Here is a 19,539-nt window from a genome sequence, read left to right on the forward strand (position 1 = left end):
GAACTACCAGCTGGACACAGAGACACTTAGGACTGGAGCCTCAGGTGCCATTATTAAGGGTAAATTTGAAAAATCTGCTAGACTCCTTTTCATGCAAGAATGGAGTATCTCTAAAATATTTCAGCTTATCCACAAATCTTGAAAACCACCCATTTCATGCTGGAGAACTCATTTTGGCACCTATTATACAATTAGTATTGATTGGCCATTACTTTAACCGAAGAAAGTCCCTTTCTAATACTCACTGTTCTATATTTTTAATGTAAAATTTTGTTCTCAATAGCTTTTGGGGTACAAGTGGTTTTTGGTTGCATGGATAAATTGTATAGTGGTGAAGTCTGAGATTTTACTGCACCTGTCGCCTGAATAATGCATATTGTACTCAATACGCAGATTTTATCCCTCATTCCCCTCCTACCCTCTCCCTTCTTGAGTCTCCCAAGTACTCACTTACAATAATGGGTGAGGTAACTCAGGAATGAAAAACCCAATACCATATGTTCTTACTTATAAGTGGGAGATAAGCTATGGTTAGGCAAAGGCATACAGAGTGGCATAATGGATTGCAAAAGACATTATTGCTGCAAAAGACACTATTTCATTCTTTTTGATGGCTAAGTGGTATTCCATGATGTATATATACCACATTTTCTTTACTCATTGGCTGTTGGGCAGTTGGTTGTTTTCATATCTTTACAATTGTGAATTATACTGTGATAAACATACAGGTGTCATTGCTCTATTTTGAAAAGCCTCTACTGTTGATCGCCAGGATAGTTAGTTGTAGCAGCCTCAGGTTTTCTGATTACACACCTGCTCATCACCACTAGAGTGTGGAGTAAAACTAACCCTATGCATTTATATAACACTGTGTATGATCAAATATTTTAGAGCTGAAATACCACATGCTTCAAAAATAAGGAAATCCATAGACTGAGAAACTTGGGACAATATACTCTCTAAGGACAGAAAATCTGAACTATTTGCTAACAAATTTTTCACAATGTCCAGGTTGTCTTATAACAATATCAAACTTCAACAGAAAGGAGGTCAAGTCAGTTTCTCTAGAAATAACAAGATTAAAGTAAACTCATGACATTCTAGCGAAATGTTGATCTACCAGAGTTAAGGTTTTGGGGAATGGGGCTTTGGAGAATGGGGCTTGAATTCTAGTCTTCCTTCTACCTCTTAGCAAGCTCTATAATTTCAATAAGTCATTTCACCTTTTTTGAATTTTTGTCTCCTTTGTTGTAAAGAGTGGCTGATCTTCAAAGTCCCTTCTACTCTTTTATTATTATTATTATTATTATTATTATTATTATTATTATTATTATTATTGAGACAGCCTTGCTCTGTTACCCAGGCTGGAGTGTAGTGGCACGGTCTTGGCTCACTGCAACCTCCACCTTCCAGGTTCAAGCAATTCTCCTGCCTCAGCCTACCGAGTAGCTGGGACTACAGGTGTGCACCAGCATGCCCAGCTAATTTTTTTTTATTTTTAGTAGAGACAGGGTTTCACCATGTTGTCCCAGTTGGTCTTGAACTCCTGACCTCAAGTGATCCACCTGCCTTGGCCTCCCAAAGTGCTGGGATTACAAGCATGAGCCACCATGCTCAGCCTTCTAGCTCTTTAAAGTGTCCAAAATGTATATTATAATTCCAGGTATACCAAATTTTTACTTTAAGTTTGAGAGAGATAATTAGCTTTTCCTGTGTTTTGTTAGCATTAAGTAGAAATTTGGTGAATTTTTACACTGCTAGTTCTTCAACCATTCTCTTTGACTTTGGAAATGCTAGATGATTTCTCTGAAGCAGAGAATATAACCATGAACACAGTGGTGCTTTGCAGCATCTTTTAAGTGTCTAAGTCTTTTGATGCTTAACAATAGGGAGCATAGGCTGGACCCGGTGGCTCATGCCTGTAATCCCAGCATTTTGGGAGGCCAAGGCAGGTGGATCACCTGAGGTCAGGAGTTTGTGACCAGCCTGGCCAACATAGTGAAACCCCTTCTCCACTAAAAAATACTAAAAATTAGCTGGGCATGGTGGTGGGTGCCTGTAATCCCAACTACTGGGGAGGCTGAGGCAGAAGAATCACTTGAACCCAGAAGGCGGAGGTTGCAATGAGCCAAGATGGCCCCACTACACTCCAGCCTGGGCAACAAGAGCAAAACTCTGTCTCATAAGAAAAAAAAAAAGAATAGGGAGCATATTGTGACCACTGAAGGAGCTTCGTACAAACATTCTGAGTGTGTGTTTACTTCATATTCAAAGACAATGCCCTAAATAGTCATTCCCTAGGAATGCAGAACTTTCAGCTTTGGCATTAAATTTCTCTAAATGGAATTTGCTGTACAGATAAAGCACAAAACACAGCAAGCTTTGACTGTGAGGACATTTCCTTTGATAAAACACACTCAAAAAAAGTCAATGAGAATGATATTAATAGTCCCGTGTTTATGTGAGAGCAATGATTTTTATAATGTGAGGTGAAGATATCCAAACCAATTCTCTAGAATATTTTAGCTGAATTTTCAAACTGGTGTGCTGCCTTAATCTGACATCTAAATCAAGTGATGCTATACACTTCAGGGCACAAATTAGAGGACTGGCACCAGACTACAGCAGTTAGACTGCCGGAGAATCGATACAGGTCATTTAAGCATCAGGACTGCCTATGTTTCATTTTTGACACTGGAGTTTATGCTTATTGAGTGGGGGAGCTTTAACTCTATGGTGGCAATAAACTCATTAGAAAGTGTCAGCTGGGATTATAACACATGTTAAATAAATATCACCAGTGCTGACACACAGTCTTCATTACCTCTTTCCTAGGGTATCTGGATATAAAAGGAGACTAAGCAGTTTTAAGTATAGTGGGATTTAAAAACAATTTTTCTCTCTCATAGACTTGCCACAAGTGCTTGAATCCCATTATTGGGAAGGAATGCCTATGAGCAAAAGACTTTTCTTTTTTTCTAGGAACTTGTAACTAAATGATATGCCAGCTAACACTGTTAAGAGGATTAGCTCAGTGTGGTCTTGTTAGAATGAAACTCTAATTAGGTATCTGGGAATCCTGTGTTAGACAAACAATCATACTGATAAGTTGTTTTAAGGAAATATGGTCTCTTCAGAATATGTTCTCCAAAATCACATGAATTTTAAAGGCAATAGATTGACATAACCATTGGCAAGACTATGATGAATGGAGTCAGATGAAGCAAAATGCTGGGTAGCAGGACCTTGAGAAATGCCCTTTATAAAATGTACTTGTGCTTCTTCTAATCAATGGCTCAGCTCTGCCTCCATCTCAAGTTCTCAGTCCCAGACCTTGCTTTCCTGAACTACATCTTTTTGATCCATAAGCAGAACAGGATCACTGCACAGGAAAGCAGTTGGGGCCAGAGATGAGCTTTGTCTGCCACACTGCCTGCTCTAGTGTTGAGTGTTTACTCAGCAGCTGTGTTCCCGCAGTCAACTGAGAATTCATCAAAGCTTTGCTTTCAGCTCTTCTCTGGGTCCAAATGAGTATAACTCCCCCTTCTGAGTAGAAATTCTTTTTAAATGTCATTGGTTAACTTTTAAATAGTTTTTCTTTTTTTTTTTTTTTTTTTTTTTGAGGAAGTCTCGCTCTTTCGCCCAGGCTGCAATGCAATGGCACAATCTTGGCTCACTGCAACCTCTGCCTCCTGGGTTCAAGCAATTCTCCTGCCTCAGCCCCCTGAGTAGCTGGGATTACAGGTGCAGGCCACCACGCCCAGCAAATTTTTGTATTTTTAGTAAATACAGGGTTTCACCATGTTGGCCAGGCTGGTCTCAAACTCTTGACCTCAGGCGATCCACCTACCTCGGCCTCCCAAAGTGCTGGGATTACAGGCATGAGCCACTGCACCCGACCAACTTTTAAATAGCTTTAAACTGTGACCCAGATTACCTTATGTGTTGCATCATTACTGGATGGGGGCTCTTCATCTGCCCCTTCCAGCCAGTTATCCTCTCCTGTCTTTTTTTTTTTTTTTTTTTTTTGGAGATGTAGTCTTGCTTTGTTGTCCAGGCTGGAGTGTAGTGACACGATCTCAGCTCACTGCAACCTCCGTATCCCGGGTTCAAGCAATTCTCCCTGCCTCAGCCTCCTGAGTAGCTGGGATTACAGGCGCCTGCCACCACACCCAGCTAATTTTTTTGTATCTGTAGTAGAGACTGGGTTTTGCCATGTTGGCCAGGCTGGTCTCAAACTCCTGACCTCAGGTGATCTGCCCACCTTGGCCTCCCAAAGTCTCCTGCCTTTGAACAATGTATTTGCTGTGCATTTTCCAAGAATTGATGTTCATTATATAAAATATATCTCACAACAGATAACAAAAGAATTTTTATAACTATCATTGATCCTGTAGACGTCTTCATCTAGTTCACGCACGTAATGGGTCATAGAATTCTTGCAGGATCCACAGTTTACGGGCCCACTGTATCATGTATTTCCTAAGACAAATTGGAAAGCTGGGTCGTTAGGACCAAGGCAAGTTGTTTAGTCACCCAAATTACTCTCCTGCAACCAACTCATTGTCAAGAACCTAGTAGGTGTGCCCTGCTGGCCTAGAGAATGCAAATGCTGAGCCCTGGGCTCTCAGCCTGACCACGGAGAAACAAGTTAATGCACTCTTCTGGGAATGGTGCATCTGAAAACTTACAAATATTTAACTGTCTCCAATAATGAATTGACCTGGAACAATTCCTTATTCAATAAAAAAAGTGCTGAGTTTTAATGAAAAATAATGAAGCCATCTACTAAAATGTTAATCCATGCAAAGCACCTGGAAGAGGGCCCGGCACGTAGTAAGTGCCTGTACTTATTCTCCACTTGACCCCTTAGCAAGACTCCCTCCCCCGCCAGTCATTCTCCCATCTTCTCTGGCCTGCTGTCTTCCCAGAAAATAGGACTTCTACATAGGACTACATCACCCAAATTCCCTTGCGAGCCAGCTTCAGTTAGGGGCCAGCCAATGGGAGGAAGTGTCAGGGAACCAGTAGGCGGGAGAAGAAAGGGTAGGGAACTTCCTTCCTGCCCCCTCCGAGTTTTGCCTCTCTCACTGGCAGCAACCCAGCGCTTCCATTGCTGACCTCTACCGACCTCTACCTGTGGTCCTTCCTCTACTGCAGCAGAGACACTGTTTTCTTCCTTTGTTCTTCCAACCCCATGTAAGTTAATGCCTTGCCTCTCTTGCTGGTACCTGGGTGCTTCAACATGCCATTTTTTGGTTCCTTAATGCTGCCCAAATCTCTGTAAGTAGGCCCTTCACTAAAGACTATTAACTTACATCAGTGGTTCTCAACCCTTGCTGCACGTGACCACCAAGGGAGCTTTTGAAAACTACCGGTGCCTGGGCTGGCATTCCCAGAGATTATTGCAACTGGCTGGGGTGGGTTCTGGCCGCTGGTGTTGTCTAAGAGCTTTGTAAGTAATGAAGCCAGAGTTAAGAGCCACTTACTGAAATCACCCGAGTGAATTCCAGCCTCCTGCCAAACCCCTGACTGATAGAGCGCTCAGTGAATGTTACCTGTTGTGGTTGCCATTACAACAACTACTACTGCCACTTCTATTTCTACTGTGCTAATATTAATAGTTTTCCCCAGTTTACAGATAAGGAAACTCACACAGAGGTTAAGTAATTTTCTGAAAATCACATAAGTTAGAGTTCAATTTATTTGGCTGAAAAGCTCATGTTCTTTATGCTTTTTTTTTACTATGATATCCTGCAAAGGTCAGGTCTTCTCGAACTTTAAGGTGCATATGAAACACTTGGGGATCCTGTTTAAATGGACCTTTTGATGCAGGAGTTCTGAGGCCTGAGAGTCTGCTTTTCTGACAGCCTCCCAGGTGTCGCCAATGCTGCTGGTTCAATGACCATCCTTTGAGTATCAAAGGTGTAAACAATTAGCCACTCTTTTTTTTTCAAACCTTCAAAAATTCCTCCGCTATCCTCATCATTTTCACCTGATGATCTTGCGTCCTTCCTTATTGAAAGAGGTTTCCAAAGAGATTCTGCCAGACTCACACCGTTACATCTACGCACTTTCCCACATTTCCTACATACTCTGCCTTCCTGCCCATAGCCATAGATGAAATATTTGTACTCACATCCAGTGCCATTCCATCCATTGCAACAGATCCCATCTGCTCTTGCTCACCCAAGAGTATTTCTTCATGAATGCGCTCCAGTTTTGCATCATTTTTTCCTCCATCCTGAATTGTTTCCATTAGCATAACATGCAAATATCATGTTTTTAAATTTTAAAAACAAAAAACTTAGTTTGAATCCATCCCCTCATCACCAACTTCCACTCCAGTTTTTGTACTTATTTTCAAACAAATTACTCAAGTTTTTTTTTACTTGGTCTCCAATTGTGTTTTTCTCATTGTTAGACCCACTCCACCTTAATCAGCCCTCATCAAGGTCATCAATGTGATTCATGTTGCTAAATCCATTGGGCGTTTCCAGTCTTCACCTTTTCATTAGTATTTGGTACTTTTATAACTCCCTCCCCCTTGATACGGCTTCTGTACCTTGGTCTTTAGAACACCACATTCTCTTGTTTTTTCTTCCAGCTCACTAACAACTCCTCTGCCCTCCTCACCGGTTCTTCCTCTTATCTCTAACGTCTTTGGCAAGCTCCAGGACTCAATCTTTGGTTCTCTTTTCTATGTACATTTACTTTTTTGATGACATCCTATAGCAGCATAGCTTTAAATAGCATACATATGCCAGACTTATACCTCCATCTCAGATCTTTCCAAACTCATAAATCTAGCATCCTATGCAGCATCTCCACTGGAATATCTAATGGACATTTGAAACATAACATGTTCAAGACTGGACTTCAAATATTCTTTCCTAAATTTATTTCACTTGGAGTTTTCCCCATCTCAGTTGATGCAACTCCATCCGTCCTGTTGCTTAGGCCAAGAATCTTGAAGTCATCCTTGACTTACCTCTTTTTTTCATACCTCATGTCCAAGCTAACATGCATTCCTATTGACTTTTCAAAATATATCCAGAATGTCACACTTCTTACCACCTCTACTACTAGTACTACTACTAACAATAACAACAACAACTACTACTACTACTACTACTACTACTACTGCTACTACCCTTTACTGAGCTCCTTGCTTGGATTTATTGCAATAGTCTCTGAAACAATTTCTTGATTCCATACTTGTTACCTAATGCAGTCTATTTTGAAAAAGCAGATAGAGTGACCCTTTTAAAATGTGAAGTGGTTCTTATGGCTCCATTGTTTAATATCCTGTAAAAGCTTTCATTTCACTCAAAGAATAAGCCAAAGTTTTTATATCAGTTAAAGGTGTCTACATAGCCCACCCCTCTTCTTACCCTTCCCAACTTTACTTCTCTGGCCTTGTATCCTGCTAATTTCCTGCTTGATCGTTTCTCTCCAGGCATATTGGCTTCCATGATGCTCCTTGGAGTTTCCAGGCACGCTCTTGCCTTCTTGCCTTTGCACTGGGCTTCCCTTGTCCCTAGAATGCTGTTCTTTGAGTATCTGTGTGGATAGCTCTTACATTTCTTTCAAGCTTTTGTTCACATGTCATTTTCTCAGTGAGTCTTATCCTTATTACCCTATTTAAAATTGCAACTGTCCTTCATCCAGTACCTCTCTCTGGCTTCCCTGATTTCCATGACTCTGCTCAATTTTTAAATTTTTTTTTTTTTTGCAGTATGCAATCTTCTTATTTATTATGCTTGATACTTATTACCTGGAGTATAAGTTTTCAGCAGAACAAGGATGCTTGGTTTTGGTTTTCTAACATTTTTAAAGTACCTAAATGAGTGTCTAGCACATAAATTTACTCAAACAATTTGTTGAAAGAAATGAAGAACAATTGTTTTAGTTTTAAGATGACAGATTATAGAATACACTTAATCAAGAGCCGAGAGTATAAGTTTTCCAAGTGTGGTAACGAGACTCAGACATAACACACAAACAATAAAAACAAAAGTTTCACCTCTTTCTAGACCTCAAAAGAGATCTAGTCATTTCTTTGGACTTCTGGCTATTTAAAAGTGGGATCCATTGACATATGAAAAAAATTTCTAAGTTTTGCCCCTGTCTAATATCTCAGTTAAAGTAAACAACTATTTCCTTTTTTCTATGCTCAACAGCATTTGCCAGCATTTTATAGTATGAAAAAATGTCTCATGGCATGGAATTTAGGCTATTGACAGATTGTATAGGGGAATCTAGAGACGATGAGGTGATATTCAGCATTTCACTGCCCAGAGCCCTTGGGGTAATGTTCTCAAGAGAAATCAGTAATTGGAAGCCAACTAAATAGCTTTGTTTCCCTCAAATGCGAACCTGGTTACTTTATCAAGCAAACAGATGTTTATTACTTTCAGGCGGAAAATAATAAGTCAGGCAGGTTTACAAGCCCCCTTTCCATCTTGAAAGCATTTTTGTCAGCTGCTTCATCCTCAGAGAAAATTACCAAATCAAACCTTGAAAAGTAGATGATTAGTGGGTGTCACATGCAACATCTCATTTCTCTTTCGGGTGGGGATATGGAAATGCTATTGACCTCCCACTTAGGAAAAAACACACGTTTGACAGTAGAGTTGTTCAAGGGCTTTTTCTTGGAGCATAAACACCATGTAACCATATGCTAATGGAGAAAAGCAAAGGAACCTGGCATGAGGCACTCGGGAAAGCTTAGATCATGGTTTATAAACAATGATAGAATAGCTGACACTTATTATGGGGGAGAGAAGAATCTCATGTCTTCTCCCCAAAAGTAATTTGGAACAAGCTGAATAGGGTCACCTGAAAAGCCTCTTCATCCTTTTTGATTATCCTAATCTTTCAAAAACCAGTTGCTACACCTCTCAGGAAAATCCAGGGAAGAACAATGATGGTTATGATAAATGGTGAGAGTCTTTAAAAGTCCAAATGCCAAGTTCAGAGAGCATTCAGTAAGGTTCTCCAAACACAGAGGGATACCTGTGAATTTTCTACCTTTCAATCATTGTAATAAAGATTTAAAAAATACCTGCAGTGACTGTGAGAGACAGAGAGTTGCAAGGTCTTGTGTACCTTTCAAAGCCAGGAAAAGCCAAGACCAAAGGAGCCTGAGGAATCTTTATCTGCACCAGGGTGCAGACATTGGAAACAAGTGGAATGGGAATCCAAGCGTGGCTTGCAGATTGAATGAATATGTGTTCTACACACGTAATGGTGTTTTTGTATGGGTGTACCACTAGATGAGGTCTATAGGAATTCTTCAAACTAGTCTCAGAGTTGCATGAGAGCCAGCTACTAACAGTTAGCTATGCTGCCTGCACCAGCTGTGCTGTCAGCAGAGTGAGGAGACTCATCCAGTGTTCCCTTTATGTGTTGGTTTAATTATCTGTCATTTCACATGCATGGAGTATCCTTCCCCCAACATAGGTAACCGCTTGAAGGTAATGGAAAAGCATGGTATTTGTAGATAGTCCTAGCTTTGTGTTTAGTAGTGCAGCAGAGAAGAAACTGTAGGGGAGAAGAAATCTTTTCTTATCCATCGCGTGGTTCATGGCTGAGACCCCGGTAAAGAAAGACAGATTAACAAGAGAAAAGCATACAAATTTAATATAAGTTGTACATGACACAGAAGCCTTCATAAGGAAATGAAGTCATGAAGAAATGGATAAACCTGTGTATTTTTATGCTAAGTCTGATGAAGAAGTGACCTTGGAAAAGAAGCATGATTAGATAAAGGTGCATGATCTAATGGTAATAAACTTGGGGAAACTTAGCAAGGCCTGTTTGTCCAGATTCTTCTCTGTGTCCCTATATCTTCAGAGATAAGGATATGCCTATCATCCAAGTATAGAGTAGGTGCCTCTGGAAAGAACCTGCTTTGGGAGAGAAGGACCAAGGAAAGATGAGAGTGGCCTTCGTTTTTCTGCTGTTATCTCAAATGGCAAAGTGCCATATATTGGAGTGGCATGTCCTGAACTCCATCATTAACTGTAAGTAAAGGGCCAGTCATTTAACATCTGAGTCTTATTTTCTTAATTCTATTTGCAAAATGGGAAGTTAATCAAAATAATACCTTCAACACAGTGTAAGGATCCAGTGTTGAAAGTGATTGTAAATTCTACAAATGTTAGTTTCCCAAGTGACATGTAACTGTGGCTCACGGTGTAAGTCACTTAGTTATAGTTTTTCATCTGATTTTCTTGGTCTTTGCTGAACCGTCTCAATCATGTTTTTTTAAGAAATTGGGTTCTCATATGGGGAAGGAGGTCATGAGAAAATCAGACTGCACCTCTTTAGTACAGCCATTGTGTGCCTGTTGTCTCTGCTTATTTAAATATTTTACTTTCATGAACTTCTACAAAGTTCTACCAGGGCTACTTGGTACCTTCTTCTCCTCCTTACACCTCTGACTATGCAAATTGACGTCTCTGAATAGCATCAAGAATGGGCATTTCATTCAGTTATTGCCTCTAGAGAAGTACACTTCTATAGATGTTTTAAAAGGCAATAGAATATTTCCATGGATTTAATACCTTGGGCTTCAATTATACATACATTTTTTTTTCTTTTACAGTTCTCATTCATGCCCTTAATGACCAAAATACTATTTGCCACCTGCAGGAGTGATTATATTAGCAGAAGGGACATTAGAGACATTTGTAGAACCCAAAATGATGCCTTTCAGGAAGTATATATTCTCTTTACCAGGAGGAAGTTGCCACTGGTGTAGTGTATATAGATAAGACATTAGGAAAAGGATGTTAAAAATAGATGAGGCAAAAAATCAGATTACTTCTCCAGCAGCCATTACCATAGAACCAACCACGAATTACCAAGGTCAAGGATAGGATATTAAATAGAAGCATACACAGAAAGAGAGAGAAATGAACAGAAGATATAGGTAAGTGGATACAGGCCAAGAACTTTCTTCTGAACAAGTTTCTTGTCAAAGTCTCACATCTTTTTAATGATTTCTTTTTTTCTGTCTTAGTACTGATTCTTTTAAGAAGGGCCGTAGTAGTTACAAAGTTATAATGATTTGCTGAAGTTTTCTTCAAGAAATAGTGCAGAAGACCATATTGGTGATTACAACTCCTTGTCATTAATAAGGAATATACCAATTGATCTTATAACACTTTTTTTTTTCCTGGACAGTCCTGTTGTCAGCCAGAACTTGCCATAAATAACTTGTATGGTTTTTGGTCATTTTTCCCAATACGATATAAAGGGCTTTTTAAAATATGAGACAGGATCTTTCTCTCTCTCTGTCGCTCAGGCTGCAGCGAGTGGCACAATCATAGCTCACTGCATTCTCAACCTCCTGGGCTCAAGCGATTCTTCCATCTCAGCCTTCCAAGTAGCTGAGACTATAGGTATATGTCACTATGCCTGGCTAATTTTTGTATTTTAGGTGTTTCATCATGCTGCCCAAGCTGATCTTGAACTCCTGAGCTCAAGCAATCCACCTACCTCGGCCTCCTAAAGTTCTGGGATTTACAGTTGTGAGCCATTGCACCTGGCCCATAATTTTAATAATGAACATTGTCCTAGATGCCAAAGAGTCAATAGTGGAATGCTGGAAATCTATAAAGTAACAGTAATAGTTTATATTTCTGCAGGATTACTTTCTAGAGCTCTATAGAGTATCTTACCTAATCTTCCCTCCAGAAGCTGGATACAGTTGATACTAACCATTCCTTTTTATAGCTGAAAAAACTTGATTAATAGTGGCCTGCCTAAACATCTGAAAGCCCATTCTTTATCTGCCTTCACCTTTCTTTCTTATGTGATAACTTCTTTTTTAGGGAAAAAAAATCTATAGAATGGAAAGTTTAATAAAGCAGCTTTTTATATCCCATTCTCTCACACGGGGTCTCTTTCAGTCTACCTTCCCTTTTTACACTTGTCACTGAAGTTCCTTCCCATTTTCACCTTTTCCTTCCCAATTTGAGGGCAAGGTTAGAAAGAAAGTAGAATAGGACAGCTTATACTATAGCCATGAATAATAAGGTATTTCTGAGAGCTAATTAAACTAAAGAGCTTTTGCACAGCAAAAGGAACAGTCAGTGGAGTAAACAGACAACCCACAGAGTGGGAGAGAATCTTCACAATCTATATATCTGACAAAGAACTAATATCCAGAATTTACAACAAACTCAAATCAGTAAAGAAAAATAAGTAAGCCCACAAAAAGTGGGCTAAGGACATGAATAGACAGTTCTCAAAAGAAAATATACAAATGGCCACAAACATGAAAAAAATGCTCAACATCACTAATGATCAGGGAAATGCAAATCAAAACCACAATGCGATATCACCTTACTCCTGCAAGAATGGCCATAATCAAAAAATCAAAAAACAGTAGATGTTGCCGTGGATGCAATGAACAGGGAACATTTCTACACTTCTGGTGGGAATGTAAACTAGTACAGCCACTATGAAAAACAGGGTAGAGATTCCTTACAGAACTAAAAGAGCTACCACTTGATCCAGTAATTCGACTACTGGGTATCTACCCAGAGGAAAAGAAGTCATTATTTGAAAAAGATACTTGCACATGCATGTTTATAGCGGCACAATTCACAATTGCAAAATCATGGAACCAACCCAAATGCCCATCAATCAATGAATAGATAAACTGTGGGGGTGTGTGTGTATATATATATGTGTGTGTGTGTACATATATATATACACATATATATACATATACATATATACACACACGTATATACATATATGTGTATATATGTTGGAATACTACACAGCCATAAAAAGGAATTAACAGCATTTGCAGTGACCTGGATGAGATTGGGTGAGACTACTATTCTAAGTGAAGTAATTCAGGAATGGAAAACCAAGCATCATATGTTCTCACTTTTATGTGAGAGCTAAGCTATGAGGACTCAAAGGCATAACTGATACAATGGACTTTGGGGACTTGGGGGGAAGGGTGGAAGGGGGGTGAGGAATAAAAGACTACAAATATGGTGCGGTGTATACTGCTCAGGTGATGGGTGCACCAAAATCTCACAAATAACCACTAAAGAACTTACATGACCAAATACCACCTGTACCCCAATAACTTATGTAAAAAACATCCCCTTAGAAAAGATATTTATTGGATTTTGTAAATCTGGAAAGAAATAGTTTTTAAGGAAAATTAACACTATCCATGTTGGCTAAAGAGAACATACAAAACTTAAATATATCAATAAACATGATAGGATGGGAAAATTTTGAAAAATATTATTCAAAGTTACTGCTGTTTAGACTTACAGATTAACTCTTTCTGTCTTTGGAGGATAGATAACAGAATATATATAGTGTCTTAAAATGCTGGGAAAAAAATAGAAGTGTGCCATTAATACTTGACCAAGTATCACACAAAAGGAAACTTCAGGCAAATCTCACTGAAGAACATTGATGCAACTGACCAAAGCCAACAGCAACGCGGAAGTTTTAAACAGTTTAACTTTTATGTGAATACCCAAGTTATAAAAGCAAAAAGTTTTATTATTATAAAGCTTTTTATAATTCTAACTTCATAGAGTTGATCTATTATGTAGCCAATTTTTATGGACCGTGAGGTTACTTTGATGATTAAGACAATATGAAGGAAAGGATCCTAGATCAGAATTGCCATCACATAGCAGAGAAATTTAAAAAAAAATCATAATTCAAACCGAAAAAGTAGTTGCCAATGGATCAAAGCTTTTCACAGTTTGCCTTATAATTCTTAGGTTAAACTGACCCAGAAGCCTATAAAAGAAAGCATAGGGATGGTTTGTCTGGTTAGTCAGCAAAACTTAGTAGTCCACCATCTCTAGCACAATATTTGTTCACTTTGGGAAGCTTTCATGTGTGACTTATTTTCACTCATTGGAGGCCTTGGTGTCCATTCTGCGGTTGCCACTGGGGACATTGTGGCAGGGGTTTTCCTTCACATTGTTGTTCGCAAAATGAATGACTGCCAACTTGCTTGAGGATGAGATTAAAAACTGATACATATTTTTTTTTTCTCCTGTAATGTACCATCCAAGTTATTTGGCTTCATAAGACAGTGGGGACTGTTCTCTCTTTCTTTAATTTCTCGACAAGGCAGTTTAACCCAGGATTAAATGAAATTAAACCATAAAATATTAAATTACGGGGCTGCTTGGTACAATCAATAGGTGAATATGCTCTTTGATTCTCTAACATGGAAACAGAGTGTGGCAGATTTCTAAAGTTTTGTCATAGAACTTTTTCTTCAAGGAGTACAACTGTTCAATAAAATATACTTTGGGAAACCCTAGACATATTCCAGTAAAAGTTAAGAACAGTAGAAGCATGTCGGGTATCTCTATTTTTAATCATTATTTCTGAAGGGCTGGTACAAGACTACAAAATAAGGAATTTAATGATTCGATGTTTTAAAAAAGAAGATAACATTTTCATTTGAAGATTGTGATTTTTCTCTTAGAAAATACAAAAGAATTAACTAAAACGCTATTAAAATTTAATTTAAAAAATGCAAAAGAACATTACTATAGCATACAACCTGTCCTAAAAAAAAAGGTTACAAAGTAAAATTAAAACCTTAAAGCTCCCTTTCTGGCCTTCAGATGAGCGCTTGTTTTAAAAGAGAAAAATGCAAAAATCAACTTTTGATTTGGTGAGAACTCTTGTTAAAAATTTCATAAAATGATTTTTCTGGTGTTCATGTACCCACTTGGTGGACTCTGTCATATCATGGATTTAAGTCTGCCAAGTTCAACATCCTACTTTTTATTAAAAATCTCTTTCTGGCTAAGAATAAATGCTTCTTAGACTTCTTCATTTTCATCACCAGCACTAGCAATGGTTTATTTCTCCCATAAGAGCCATTTTTCAAAAATATATGAAGTTTTTATCACTTAAGAACAGTTACTGCTCATGAAAGAGAAAGAAGAACAGAGCTAAGGTGAGCCACTTATAGGATGAGAAGAAGCCAGCTCACTGTTCATGAGTAGTGGTATTGGGACAGGCCTCCACATATCAGGCCATTAGTTTGTACAATTAAAATCCATGCCACCACAAAACTACTCATCACTCTGTGGCGTGAACCCTTGAGGTTGCCTCCAAAGAATACAAACTGTGTTATTAAATCCCTGAATGCCAGGAGTCTACTGAACTACAAATAAATACAGTAATAATACTTATCATCACCAAGATGGTTAGGTTTATTATTTTTATATAGTCTTAAAACATTTCACTCTAGGCCACCTAGGATTAACTCATTTTAGCTAAAAATATCGCACAGGATGTATCGTTCTTGCCACCTATTAAAAAGTGTGTGTAATATCTGAAATTTGTGAGAGATTGTATACTCTAATAACATAACATAAGTGCATTCGGCAATGAATAATGCATGGGCATCTTCAAAATAGTAGTGTGTGGCAGATTATGGATCATCTAACATTAAATAATTCATCTGCTTGACTGCCCTTACATCACAGGGTTATGAGTCTCATTTAACACATTAGGAAGCATAGACACTAAAAAGTTAACTGGCCTTTTTAGGGCTTTATGGGAAATTGTTGGGAGATGAGAATGAAAGATCAAAAATTCTTAGCTTCAAGCCATTTCCTCTGTTCTTTAGATTTTGGTTTTCTGATTAGAAAATTTTCTAATTTTAGCTGATTGAATATTCCTGACATACTATTGAGATATATTTAAAGCAGAAGCAATATGCAGACTTATATATAGAAGAATGTAGCAAATCATTTAAGGTCAGTCGAAGTGCCTGGAAGTTGCATGTAATTACTACATGGGGAAAGAGAATCTCTCTTAACCTTGGAGATCTTAACTGAGACCCAAAATACTGAAGCAAACCACCCATTGGAATTGAATGCTTCGTTTATTTGGGAGGCAATTCAGAGTAAGCAGAATGAAGCCAATAGAAGGTGTTAATAATCAGCCTGTCACTGTAAGTCATTAGTTGCCAGGCCCACTAATAACTGCTCTACCCAAAGGTAAGAAAGCTTAGATATGTATTTACTAATTCCTGTTTTTCACTGTTGAAGATGTTCATAGAGCTTCTGTGCCCTGCTCCTCCCTGCCTGTCCTATTTGAGCTTAACATGTTCCAGTGGCCGGAAATTGCTCTCAGTCAGTGATGTGTAGATGAGAAGCTTTGTTTGATGTACGAACCTGCAGGTGTATATGGGAACAGTGAAAGCAGAGAGGATATATGTGGTCAGCAAAGGCATCAGCTACAATTCACCTCTGGTACTACCCACATTCACTCCTGTCCGAAGTTGAGTTAAATTTGTCTGATTAGAAATTCTTCAAAGTCATGGCCAGACAAAAAATTTTTTGAAAGGCTCAGAAAAATGGTTAAAGTGATCATCTGTAGCCTACTGCTGCAACTGGTTTCAAGATCATTATTTATATTGATCATCTTCCTCTGTCATGCTTTCTAGATTCCTCTCACTCTCAGCTGCTGTAGGCTTTCACCAGGGAGGTAACCTGTACTCTCATCTACGAAAATGCTCCCCCATTTTTTCATTTCAACCTTTGTCAAATATAGTTACTGCAACTACCCATCCATCGCTATTACTGGGCATTGAGCACCAAGACACATTCCTATTAAATCCTCTGATTTTTTCCTCTTGCCCTCATTATATAGCAGCAACAATATCTTCTCATGATAGTCAGATACTTCAGTCAGTATAGTTATTTCTTTGCCCCTTGGTCTAGTCCCAAGGGACTAGGTGGTACCAGTAGCTTTGGGTTTAGTGAAACCCATATTCTGTCCCCTGGTATAAAATTTCCTTTCCAGCAATAGTACTTACAATCCATCAGAGCCTGATGTAAAGATAGAAAGCACAAATTTCCCAAGTGGGCCACTGAAAACAATGGTAAGAATAGCCACTTCTTACCTAACCCTTTGTTTCATGATCTCATTTTCTATCTGTAATCAACATAGGCCATATAACGCTTATCGATTCAAAGTGTATTCTCTATTTCGAAGGATAGCACCCTAACTATGCATGCTGTCATACCCAACTTGGATGGCTATAAAAAGCCGTCTCAACATTCTGTCAGTCAGACCAGCAGCTTTGGGTGCTGCTGTTTATGGTAGAATCAGTGAACCCCACAATCTAGACTTACTATGTCACCACAGTATGGATCCTTTGAGTCTGAGGCAATATTACATTGGTAAATCAGATATTTTGAGACTTTGGGTAGTTGTGCTAGCCATTCCACTTTGTTTCAAATCCATCGTAACTTGAATATATCATAAGTTGAAAATGCTTTCAATAGCTTACAGAATATCATAGTATAGCCCAGCCTATCTTAAACATGCTCGGAACACATACATTAGTCTACAGTTGGGCAAAATCATCTAACACAAAGCCTATTTTCTAATGGAGTGTTGAATATCTCATGTAATTTATTGAATACCGTACTTAACGTGGAAAACAGAGTGGTTGTATGGGTACTCACCATTAATGTACACAGCTGAAAGCACACTGGGCCTGAAGAATGTTTGAAGAATTGGACTACAATCAATTGCTGGATGATGGGGAGGCTACAGCAACAGGGTTATTAATTTCTGTCTCTTCTGATGAGGCTCAAGAATAGCTGGTAGAAGGCACTGGTGCATGGACACTTAATGGTTTAGCAGGCATAGTGTTAGTCAAGAAGATATCAAGTATTGTTTACCCTCGTGAGTGGCTGGCTGCCTGGGAGCTGTGGCTCACTGCTACCACTGCCCAACATCAAGAGAAAGTATCATACTGCATATGCTAGCTCTAAAAAAAGATCAAAATTCAAATTTCTATGTACGATTTTTACTGAATGTATGTTCCTTTCACACCATGGTAAAGTTGAAAAATTATAAGTTGATCTATCATAAGTAAAAAAAAAAATGGCCATTCCACTTGGGGTGAGATGATATCTCATTGTGGTTTTTATTTGTATTTCCCTGAGGTTTAGTGATATTGAGTATTTTTTAATACAGCTATTGGCCATTTGTATGTCTTCTTTTGAGAAATGTTTATTCATGACCTTAGCCTACTTTTAAATGGAATTATTTGTTTTTGTTGTTGTTGAGTTGTTTGAGTTCCTTGTATATTCTGGATATTAGACCCCTGCTGAATGCATACTTTGCAAATATTTTCTGCCATTTAACAGGCTGGCTCTTCAGTTTTGATTGTTTCCTATGTTGTGCAGAAGTATTTTAGTTTAATATAGTCTCATTTATCTATTTCTGTTTTTTTTGTTTTCTGGGCCTTTAAGGTCTAATCCATAAAATATTTGCTTAGACCAATGTCCTGAGACATTTCCCCTATGTTTTCTTCTAGTGGTTTTATAGTTTTGGGTCTTTCATTTAAGTCTTCAATCCATCTTGAGTTGATTTTTGTATATGGTGAGAGATAGAAATCCAATTTCATTGTTCTGCATATGGATATCCAGTTTTCCCAGCACCGTTTACTGAAAACAGAGTTCTTTTCCTAGTATGTTCTTGTTGTCTTTGTAAAAAAAAAAATTAGTTGGCTGTAAATACATGGATTTATTTTGGAGTTCTCTATTCTGTTCCATTAGTTTGTGTGTCTGTTTTTATACCAATTACATGCTGTTGTGGTTACTATAATTTTGTAGTATATTTTGATGTCAGGTAGTATAATGCCTCCAACTTTGTTCTTTGTGCTGAAGATAGCTTTGACTATTCAGCCTCTTTTTTTGTTTCCATGTGAATTTTAGGATTGTTTTTCCTATTTCTGTGAAAAATGACATGGGTATTTTGATAGGGCGTGCATTGAATATGTAGATTGCTTTAGGTAGTATGGTCATTTCCATTTGTGTCCTCTTCAGTGTCTTTCTTCAGTGCTTTGTAGTTTTTCTTGTAGTGGTCTTTCGCCTTCTTGGTTAAATTTATTCGTAGGTATTTTATTTTGGTAGCTATTGTAAATGGAATTACCTTCTTGATTTCTTTCTCAGATAGTTCATTATTGGTGTTATAAATACTACTGATTTTTGTATGTCGATTTTGTGTCCTGCAACTTTACTAAACTTTTTTTTTTAATCAATTCTAAGTTTTTTGGTGAGGTCCTTAGGTTTTCTAGATATGGGATCATGCCATCTGCAAAGATGGACAATTTGACATCTTCTTTTCCAAGGTGGATGCTATTTAAGTGTTTTATTTATTTATTTAGCCTGATTACTCTGCCTGGGATTACCAGTACTATATTGACTAGGAATGGTGAAAGTGGACATCCTTGTCTTGTTCCGGTCCTTAGAAGAAAATCTTTTCTGCTTTTCCCCATTTATATGATGTTAGCTGTGAGTTTATCATATATGGCCTTTATTATATTGAGATATGTTCCTTCTATGCCTTGTTTGTTGAGAGTTTTCATCATTAAAGAATGTTAAATTTTATCAAACGCTTTTTCTGTATCTATTGAGGTGATATGGTTCTTGTCCTTCATTATGTTGATGTGATGTTTTACCTTTATTGATATGTATATGTTGAACT

General features: G+C 38.2%; 1 long non-coding RNA gene across 9 annotated transcripts in view, besides 1 other annotated feature; it reads left to right on the forward strand.

Annotated features, from left to right (window-relative positions):
- The first annotated feature begins 5,082 nt into the window (after positions 1 to 5,082).
- Positions 5,083 to 19,539, forward strand: part of LOC105379362 (uncharacterized) — a 122,073-nt gene continuing 107,616 nt past the window's right edge. For 8 of the 9 annotated variants that reach the window (NR_188155.1, NR_188148.1, NR_188151.1 and 5 more), the window contains exon 1: positions 5,083 to 5,199. This is a non-coding gene — a long non-coding RNA (uncharacterized LOC105379362). Of the gene's footprint in view, positions 5,200 to 5,365; positions 5,456 to 19,539 lie in introns of those variants that run through there. The other variant, NR_188156.1, reaches the window with a different exon arrangement.
- Positions 5,271 to 5,340: an enhancer, noted in NCBI's record as "active region_27217". NCBI's record gives its function as "activates an Ori minimal core promoter by ATAC-STARR-seq in GM12878 lymphoblastoid cells {active_cell/tissue: GM12878}" and the evidence as "EXISTENCE:reporter gene assay evidence [ECO:0000049][PMID:35858748]".

This window comes from Homo sapiens, chromosome 8, assembly GCF_000001405.40.
Source record: "Homo sapiens chromosome 8, GRCh38.p14 Primary Assembly".
NCBI lineage: Eukaryota > Metazoa > Chordata > Mammalia > Primates > Hominidae > Homo > Homo sapiens.